The sequence below is a fragment of the Homo sapiens genome, chromosome 5, assembly GCF_000001405.40.
Source record: "Homo sapiens chromosome 5, GRCh38.p14 Primary Assembly".
Taxonomy (NCBI): Eukaryota; Metazoa; Chordata; class Mammalia; order Primates; family Hominidae; genus Homo; species Homo sapiens.
The window spans coordinates 59,305,762-59,316,663 of NC_000005.10; the positions used below are offsets into that span (position 1 = coordinate 59,305,762).

At 43.9% G+C, this 10,902-nt stretch overlaps 1 protein-coding gene across 28 annotated transcripts in view; it reads right to left on the reverse strand.

Annotated features, from left to right (window-relative positions):
• PDE4D (phosphodiesterase 4D) overlaps positions 1–10,902 on the reverse strand; it is a 1,553,091-nt gene that overhangs the window by 336,724 nt on the left and 1,205,465 nt on the right. The window lies entirely within an intron of this gene.

Consider the following 10,902-nt stretch of genomic DNA (forward strand, 5'->3'; position numbering starts at 1 on the left):
GAGTGCTTGATATAATTCAATTTTCTTAAATTCACTAAGGCTCATTTTATGGCCTATCATATGGTCTATCTTGGAGAAAGTTCCATGCACTGTTGAATAGAATGTATATTTTGCAGTTGTTCTGTATATATCTGTTAAGTCCATTTGTTCCAAGGTACAGTTTAAATCCATTGTTTCTTTGTTGACTTTTTGTCTTGATGACCTGTCTAGTGCTGTCAGTGAAGTACTGAAGTCCCCCACTATTGTTGTGTTGCTGTCTATCTCATTTCTTAGGTCTGTTAGTAATTGTTTTATAAATTTGGGGGCTCCATTGTTAAGTGAATATATGTTTAGCATTGTGACATATTCCTGTTGGAGAAGGCCTTTTACCATTATATAATATCCCTCTTTGTCTCTTTTAACTGCTATTGCTTTAAAGTTTGTTTTGTGTGACACAAGAATAGCTACCTCTGCTGGCTTTTGGTGTCCATTTGCATGGAAAGTCTTTTCCACCCCTTTACTTTAAGTTTATGTTGGTCCTTATGTGTTAGGTGAGTCTCCTGAAGGCAGCAGATAGTTGGTTGGTGAGTTCTTATCCATTCTGCAGTTCTGCATCTTTTAAGTGGAGCATTTAGGCCATTTACATTCAATGTCAGTATCGAAATGTGAGGTACCATTGCATTCATCATGCTCTTTGTTGCCTGTATACTTTTGTTTTGTTTTGTTTTCGCTTTTTAGCTTGTATTTTTGTTTTACAGGTCCTTTGTGATTTACGCTTTAAAGAGGTTCTGTGCAAAAATCACAAGCATTCTTATACACCAATAACAGACAAACAGAGAGCCAAATCATCAGTAAACTCCCATTCACAATTGCTTCAAAGAGAATAAAATACCTATGAATCCAACTTACAAGCAACATGAAGGACTTCTTCAAGGAGAACTGCAAACCACTGCTCAATGAAATAAAAGAGGATACAAACAAATGGAAGAACATTCCATGCTCATGGGTAGGAAGAATCAATATCGTGAAAATGGCCGTATTGCCCAAGGTAATTTAAAGATTCAATGCCATCCCCATCAAGCTACCCATGACTTTCTTCACAGAATTGGAAAAAACTACTTTAAAGTTCATATGGAACCAAAAAAGAGCCTGCATCACCAAGTCAAACCTAAGCCAAAAGAACAAAGCTGGAGGCATCACGCTACCTGACTTCAAACTATACTACAAGGCTACAGTAACCAAAACAGCATGGTACTGGTACCAAAACAGAGATATAGATCAATGGAACAGAACAGAGCCCTCAGAAATAATGCCGCATATCTACAACTATCTGATCTTTGACAAACCTGAGAAAAACAAGCAATGGGGAAAGGATTCCCTATTTAATAAACGGTTCTGGGAAAACTGGCTAGCCATATTTAGAAAGCTGAAACTGGATCCCTTCCTTACACCTTATACAAAAATTAATTCAAGATGGATTAAAGACTTACATGTTAGACCTAAAACCATAAAAACCCTAGAAGAAAACCCAGGCATTACCATTCAGGACACAGGCATGGGCAAGGACTTCACGTCTAAAACACCAAAAGCAATGGCAACAAAAGCCAAAATTGATAAATGGGATCTAATTAAACTAAAGAGCTTCTGCACAGCAAAAGAAACTACCATCAGAGTGAACAGGCAACCTACAAAATGGGAGAAAATTTTCGCAACCTACTCATCTGACAAAGGGCTAACATCCAGAATCTACAATGAACTCAAACAAATTCACAAGAAAAAAACAAACAACCCCATCAGAAAGTGGGCGAAGGATATGAACAGACACTTCTCAAAAGAAGACATTTATGCAGCCAAAAAACACATGAAAAAATGCTCACCATCACTGGCCATCAGAGAAATGCAAATCAAAACCACAATGAGATACCATCTCACATCAGTTAGAATGGCAATCATTCAAAAGTCAGGAAACAACAGGTGCTGGAGAGGATGTGGAGAAATAGGAATACTTTTACACTGTTGGTGGGACTGTCAACTAGTTCAACCATTGTGGAAGTCAGTGTGGCGATTCCTCAGGGATCTAGAACTAGAAATACCATTTGACCCAGCCATCCCATTACCGGGTATATACCCAAAGGACTATAAATCATGCTGCTATAAAGACACATGCACACGTATGTTTATTGCGGCACTATTCACAATAGCAAAGACTTGGAACCAATCCAAATGTCCAACAATGATAGACTGGATTAAGAAAATGTGGCACATATACACCATGGAAAGCTATGCAGCCATAAAAAATGATGAGTTCATGTCCTTTGTAGGGACATGGATGAAATTGGAAATCATCATTCTCAGTAAACTATCGCAAGAACAAAAAACCAAACACCGCATGTTCTCACTCATAGGTGGGAATTGAACAATGAGAACACATGGACACAGGAAGGGGAACATCACACTCTGGGGACTGTTGTGGGGTGGGGGGAAGGGGGAGGGATAGCATTAGGAGATATACCTAATGCTAAATGACGAGTTAATGGGTGCAGCACACCGGCATGGCACATGTACCCTAAAACTTAAAGTATAATAATAATAATTTAAAAAAAAAAGAGGTTCTGTTTTGTTGTGTTTCCAGGATTTGTTTCAAGATTTAGAGCTCCTTCTAGCAGTTCTTGTAGTGGTGGCTTGGTAATGGCAAATTTTCTCAGCATTTGTTTTTCTGAAAAAGACTGTATCTTTCCTTCATATATGATGCTTAATTTCACTGGGTACAAAATTCTTGGCTGATAATTGTTTTGTTTGAGGAGGCTGAAGATAGGGCCCCAGTCCCTTCTAGCTTGTAGGCTTTCTGCTGAGAAATCTGCTGTTAATCTCACAGATTTTCCTTTATAGGTTACCAGTGCCTGTTCTGGTGCAGGGGGTAGGGGTTGGGGGGCGCAATGGGCTCTGTGGGGGTTCTTAGCTTTCGTGGTTTAATGCTCTATTTTTGTGCTGGCTGGTCTCCTGCCAGGAGGTGTTGCCTTCCAGAGAGCATCAGCTGTGGTAGTATGGGGAGGAACCCTAGAACTCCCAAGATTATATGCCCTTTGTCTTCCACTCCCAGGGTAGATAGGGAAGGACCATCAGGTGGGGGCAAGGCTAGGTGTGTCTGAGCTCAGACTCTCCTTGGGTGAGTCTTGCTAGGGCTGCTATGGGGGATGGGGGTGAGATTCCCAGGTCACTGGAGTTGTGCACCTAGGAGGATTATGGCTTCCTCTGCTGAGTCATGCAGGTTGTCAGGGAAGTGGGGGAAAGCCAGCAGTCACAGGCCTCACTCTGCTTCCACGCAAACCCAAACCAAATGGCTAGTCTCACTCTCACTGTGTCTCCCACCCTCTAACAGCCTGAGTCCATTTTCAGTTGGAGGGCAAGATGAGCTTGAAAATCTGCCCCAGGCTACCCACCTCCCAGCTGTGAATGAAAGGGATTGGTTCTACTCCACCTGTGGAGTCTGCACGCCAGATGTGTGCCCTCCCCTGAGTTCTGGCCAGGAGGCTTCTCACCCCATTCAAATTGTTACAAACTTCAGCTAGAGATTTTCTTCTCCCTGTAGAGTTTTACCCCTTGCACCTCTGGCTCTGGCTGCCCTCTGGATGGATCCCTGTGATGCCAGGCATGGATGGCCTGCTAGGGGACTCAGAGAGCTTCCAGGGCCTTTCTGCTACTTTCTTTGCCTCTGTATTTCACTCAGCTCTCCACATTGACTCAGCTCCAGGTAAAGTCAGAAACTTCTCTTGCAAACAGACCTTCAGCTTCTCCAGTGGGGGTGTGTGTTCAGGAGAGGAGGGTCTCCCTTTCCCACTTCCACAGTTGGGGTACTCACAGTATTTGGGGTGTTTCCCAGGTCCTGCAAGAGCAGTCTGCTTCCTTCAGAGGGTGTGTGGGTCCTCTCAAGGTTGCTGGTTTGTTCTTGCAGTCAATCTGGAGCTATAATTCACAATGCGAGCCTCCACATGCTGCTCTGTCCAGAGCTGCAATCTAGTCCTGCCTCCTGTCTGCCATCTTAAATCTACTTCTGTCTCTTGGATGTATTTTTTCTTCTCAGACAATAAGAACCAAAGACTGTGTATCCTGCCCAAACCCGCTGCCAGTAACATTTTGGTGTCATGAATCAGATTGCAGCTTCTCGGTAAGACCCTCTGTGCCTTGCCATCTTTGGCTGGAGGCACCCAACTCTGCTTACGTGAGGTCTTCTTTCTCTTGCTGTCTCACTCACCAGCCCATCTCCAGAAAAATTCTCTTTGGTCACTCTTCCCTCTAGCAGATTCCTCAGTTCATCCTGGTGGGCGACAGCAGAGGTGGAGGACTTCAGAGTCTGTACTGAGTAGACCTAAGTCACTGTGGCCCTTTTGGACAGGTGGCTCACAAGGGTGATAGGGCTTGAGCCTAGGCCATTCAAAGACTGGAGACCTTCATTTCCTTAACCAAAGTGGACTTTTCCCCAATAAGTCTACACCCTATTATGCTTCCTTTTTTTCTGTGGACTTTGAGATGGCCTTATATGCTGGCCACACTGTCTGTCTTGGGGGCAAGTCAACCTCTTCCCTGCTTCTATTCTGCATATCATGCAACTTCTTTCTCTGCTTAATATTGGGAAGACTCTGTCTCCACCAATTCTTTATTTCCTATCATGAATTTTTAAATCCTGCTACACATTGAGACCAGGTTTTCCAGTGGCTCTTGAGGTCATTTGTTTGTCTCCATAGGGCATCTGTATGTGGTCCATTAAGAGCAACTCCTACTTCCTTTCTAGAGCTATCTGCACTTTGGGGAGAGGACAATTCTTTCTCTGCCTTTTGTGGTCTCTCATCCCAAACTCCCTGGCCCTGACAGTTCTTCCTCTACACTGAGAAGACTGATAGGCAATGTCCTCTTAGGTCTAAGGGCTGCTGTTTGTGAGACTGTACAAAAGCAGCCTTCCATGAATATCCCTTATTTTCTACCATTCCCACGGGTGGCAGATGGATTGTCCTGTCATTTTAAATACTTGTTTTCCATGCTTCCCCAGGAATCCACAGGAGGGATGACAAGGGGACTCAGATGCAGGTTTTCCTCTGTTCCTCTGACCATCTACATTCTTAACATATACTGGGACCTACAGTGCTATGTCCAGAGAAAGGAAGGCCCAGTTCCCTTACAGCTGCTGGCTAGGGATAAGATCCTCACCTACCTAAAGGGATATGGAGAATGGGAATTTGAGAGAAAGGAAAACCATTTCATTGCTGGAATGCTCCAAACAAAGGTCACTGTAAGATCACAGTGTCAAAGGTACAGGTCAGCCAGAGGCCACAGGTGCAGGACAGATTACCATTAGCAGAGAGATGAAGGCTGGTCCTGGAGGGAAATGTGGGACCAGGGTTAGTGGTACCTGGTAATCACTGGTTTATTCCAGAACTCCAGGATGAATGGGGGATGCCCTACTCACTACTCTGATCCAAGGTATAAGGGGATCAGGAAGGAATGCTTTCAGCTGGGCGTGGTGGCTCATGCTTATAATTCCAGCACTTTATGAGGCCAAGGCGGGTGGATCACCTGAGTTCAGGACAAAACCCCGTCTCTACTAAAAATACAAAAATTAGCTGGGCTTGGTGGTATGCATCTGTAGTCCCAGCTCCTCGGAAGGCTGAGGCACAAGCATCACTTGAACCCAGGAAGTAGAGGTTGCAATGAGCTGAGATTGCACCACTGCACTCCAGCTGAGCAACAGAGAGAGACTCTGTCTCAAAAAAAAAAAAAAAAAAAAAAAAAAACAGAAAAAGAAAAAAGATGAAGAAGAAGGGACTCTTTCCTCTTCCTTACTCTTCCCTGTTCTGTCTTGCAGATAGATAACGGTGTCTCCATACTCTGGGACTGACCCCTTGGATGCATCCTTAAAATCTGCGATAAATCCAACCACCAAACCCTAAAATGAAAAAACTAATTTTTCATTGCAGAGGAAGTCTGGCTAGAGAATGGAAGTACAAATTTTAATACCATTCTCCGGCTAGACCTTTTCTGCCATTATCAGGGCAAAAAGCCAGAGGTCCCCTATTTACAAACCTTTATGGCCTAAAGGGAAGACCCTAATCCTCGTAAAGCTTGTAAGGCAAACCTCACATCCTAGCTATGCTTAGCCATCTCCTCCAGGGCCCTGCATCGGCCCTGGAGACTCCTCTGCTGATTCCTCTCCAACATTTCTTCCTCCAGAAGCCAAAAGGAAAAACTACCTCCTCCTTTGGAGGTGAAAGAGGGAGAAACAGCCACCCCTGGATCCTCCCCCTATTTATCCCACTCCCAGACCTTTGGAATTGGCCCCACTTTACACCGGGCTCCTTAGTTCTCCTCTCCAAGCTTGTAGGAGGTAAGTGAGCCAACTGAACTCGTCCAGGTCCAGATCCCCTTTTCCATGTACGACTTTTGACAACTTAGGAAAAACCTAAAAAAGTTCTCAGATGACCCCAAAAGGCTCATAGAGGGCTTCCCCAAATTGGCTCTTACATTTAGATTAATTTGGAAGGACATAAATGTACTCCTGGGACAAGCCCTTTTACAAGAGGAAAGACAGACCATCTGCGGAGCAGCAATCCACTGTCGAAATGACTTACACCTGGAAAATGCCAACTACCCTGGAGGGGCTACAGCTGTTCCCCAGCTGGACCCCAATCAGGACTACAATGCCAAAGCGGGAATATGGGCCAGGAACCATAGGCTCTTGTGTCTAATAGAGGTAATAAAATGAAGTAAGATCAAGCCTCTAAACTACAATAATTAGCCACCATAAACCAGGGGCCAAATGGAAATCCTATAGCCTTTCTGAAAAGTCTACAGGAAACTTATTAAGCACACCAAACTTAAACCCAGAATCTCCTGAGGGACTAGTCCTAAAGGACAATTTACCCAAGCTGCTCCAGACATTAGGAAAATTTACAAAAGTCAGCCTTAGAACCCAGTGCCCCTATGCCACAAATCCTCAAATTAGCCTCCTCAGTCTTTTATAACTGAGATCTGGACAAGGAGGACAGGGCTAAGGAAAAGGAGAAATGCAGGGACAAGATGCAGGCTCAACTATTGGCTGCTTTACAAGCCCACCAGCCCCCTCCAGGGTCTCCTAAGGACCCTCCTCCAGGTAACTGCCACTGATGCAGAAGACCAGGCTACTGGAGAAGGAATTTTCCAAATGGGCCAAATGGGAGGAAGCCCCACACAGCCTGCCCTCTTTGTGATAAGCTGGAGATAAGTCCCACTGGAAGAGGGACTGCCCTGGGATCCAAAAGGTCCCCCAGTTGAACCCCCATCCAATAATGGCCTTGAGCTGAAGGGGCCCTCCACTCTGGCCAGCTTCCAAATCAGACATCATCATTAAAGGAACAGAGCCAAGGGAAACTCTGGAAATGACAGGTAGTGCTATAAATATCCTTTTAAATACAAGAACTGCCTACTTTGTGCTAACCTTTTTCTCTAGGCAACTTACCCCCAAATTCTGTTGGGTAACAGGAGCAAGTAGCAACCCCTTCCTCTAAAGATTCACATCCCCTTTATTTATATTGCTTATGGGACTAATTACTATTCTCCCACTAGTCCCTGGCAATGTCTAAATGCCTCACACTGCTTTTGAGTAGGAATATACTTTCCAAAATGGGTATCCACTTAATATTTACCCAACATCTGGACTGATATTTCCCCCTAATATCCCAGTTTCTCCCAGGAAAGCCAGCAGTCCTACCTCAGGGTTTTAGAGATGCCCCACACTTATTTGGACAAGACCCAGCAAAGAAATCTAACCAAGCTATATCTTGAGTGGGGACAACTTCTGCTGTATGTAGATGGCTTACTCATCTGCTCCCCCTCCATAAAGCTTGCACAACAATATGCAGTACAAACCTTAACCTTCCTAGCAAAATGTAAGGTACAAAGTATCCAAATCCAAGACAGAGAATTTCATACCTAGAACCAAATATATATACAGAGAGTACTGCTGGCTCCAGACCCTCTAACAACCAACTTGTGTACCCACCCAGGTCCTTATTAAAACCTAAAGTGATGGATCTACAAAATCTCAACTAATCCCCTCATGGAAAGGCCCTTTTACTGTTTTCCTTTCCACTGCAACAGCTATCAAAGTTCCTGGCACCTCTAGTTGGATACATCATTCCTAAATAAAACCTTGAGAGGCTTCTGAACAATCAACAATAGGACCAGCACCTGAGTATTCCTGTGAGTCATTGGAAGATCTATAATATCTCTTTCAATGAAATTATAAGTAATGCCTTCTTTTCTTTCAAACTAATGCTAGCTCAGCATAAGGTAGCCCCAGTACTCTGGATCTTATTCATGGTGGGATTGCTTATGCTTACACTTGGTTCAAAACCAACATTCCCGAGTGGGCCTACACCCCTCCAGGCTATGTATTTTTATATGGACCTAAACAAAATAAACTGCCCTGTGAGGGAAGTTCTAAAAGAACTTATTCAACCCCCTCACTTGTAAACCTTTTTATCTGCATAGATAACACCCAACATACAGGGGATGTGCCCTAGGACTCCTGGGGCCACAAGGAACAGGTGTAACCATCTATAACATTACAAATTCTTAAAAAAGGAGAGCTCTTGGCCTTATAATGGTAGGGCTAGGGGCTGCCATAGGATTAGCTGCCCCATACAGAGGATTCAGTTATCATAAAGTCACCCTCCAAAACCTCTCTACACAAATTGGAGACCTAGGTCAGAGAACTGGGAACAGAATCTCTAAACTCAAGGCTTCACTGAATTCAGTAGCTAATGCAGTCATGGACAACAGACTAGCTCTAGATTACCTCCTTGCAGAACAGAGTCGTCTGTGCTGTCATCAATAAACCCTATTGCACTTGTGTCAACAATAGTGGGCAAGTAGAGGAACATATAAAGAGAATCTGTGACCACGCTAAGTGGCTTCATGACTCTGGGAAAGAAAATCCCTCAGCAGATTCCATCTGGAACTCTGTAAAATCTGCTCTCCCATTGCTCACATGGTTCCTCCCCTGCTCGAACCAGCTGTCTCCATACGTCTACTTCTTTTTGGCCCCTGCCTTTTAACCTACTAGATAAATTTGTCTTCTCCAGGATATAACAATTTCAAACCAAGTTCCCAATAATGCAGGTGATAGATGCAGGAGGCAGATAAGAGGGAGGATCCCTGGAGAATCTCCCGCCCGCCTGTGCACTGCGACGATGGGGTAAAGCTACCAGGAAGTTCATGCCTTGTTGGGGGGAAAGAGCCTGGGAACTTTAGCTCGTGTGTGGGGGCTTGGAATCCAATCTGTGAGATGGGAGCCTGCTGGCAGAAACCCCTCTCACTTTGCTGAAAGTTTTTCTTTTCTTGTTTTCCTTTTCGCCCAATAAATAATAAATTCCATTCCCCTCACCCTTCCACGTGTCTGCATGCCTAACTTTTCCTGGTCGTGACACAGAACCTGGATTTAGCTGAACTGAGGAGCAGAAATTCTGCAATACAGGAATATCTACCTCCCTACCCAAATGTGAAGAAAACATACACCTGTTTCCCCTGGACCTGGCTGGACACCAATTCTACCTACCGATGGGACCATTCTGTTCTGACAATTAGCAAGAGATTGAGACCCAGAGGACAAATACAGCCCTTATTTCAGCAGGAAGCAGCCACAGAGGACTGACCTTCATCCACTAGCCCCAAATAATTGAGTCTCACACTCTTGAGGGGGGAATATGTTAGGGTAGGTAGATAGGTGGATATGAGCAGGGCAGGATAGGGCCCCAAGGAATGTCAGGAGACAGTCAAATGACTGTCATTGTGACTGTCAGGTGGCCTCTTCAGGAATGATAGATGGTCATGGCTGGCACCAGGGAGGGGGAAATTTCCTAACAGGAAACATCTTAAGCTTGTAGGCAACAACTTTGCGATAAAACCCTAGGAATTGAGCAGGCATGCACAGTAAGGGGCAAAATGGCAAAGTTTGACTGGTATATGACCTTCCTCTGGGGGCACTAGACCAGTAAAGGAAAATTGCCCAAAGAGTACATGTGCATAACTACAACCACCAAATGGCGCATGCAGCCCCTCCCAGATTACTGGCAAGTCACTGAGCACGCGGCGATTAGCCAACAGCTGGCCCAAAAGGAAGTATGATGGGAGGAGATCAGGAAGAATCAGGAAATAGTAACTTTATAAGAGTCCTGAGCCAATAATCAGGCGGGACACTCAATCTTTCCAGTTGCCCACTTGGTCCCTTCCAAATGTACTTTGCTTCAATAAACTTTTGCTTCTGTCTGAAATCTACATCTGTCTCTCAGCTGAATTTTTTTCTTCCAGGAAGACAAAAACTGAGGGCCGTAGACCCTGCCTGGACTCACCTCCCGTAACATTTAGACTCTTTATTTCACTTAAATACTTGATCAAGAGGTACATGAAGATAACAAGCTATGGGGCTTTGCAATAATAAAGGCAGATTGCCAGTCTGAGTTTGGAATTGGAATCGGTATAGACATAAGATTCATGAAATTTCAAAAATGACATATTTCTTTACATGTTTATGATCATGAAAACTAGTCTTTCTGTTTAAAAGAAACTACCTGGGTTCCTTTAGTCTTTGAACATAGAACTTTTTTTTTAATGTTACATTGATAGCTGAAACAGTTGATAATCATGTTCTAGAGCAGGTGAGTGTTGCTATATACTGGGGTTGAGATGGGGAAAATGAAATAAATGTATAAAGGATCAGAACTACAGCATCTTAAAGTGAAAACATCACAAAGCTCAGAGTAAATTTCCATCTTGCTGTTGATTTATATATAAACTGTACTCACATGTTCAGAAGGAGAAGTGGAAATATTATCTTGGCTTACATGGAAGAGGAAAAGACTATATCTAGTTATTTAAAACTACCTGTTAACTTAC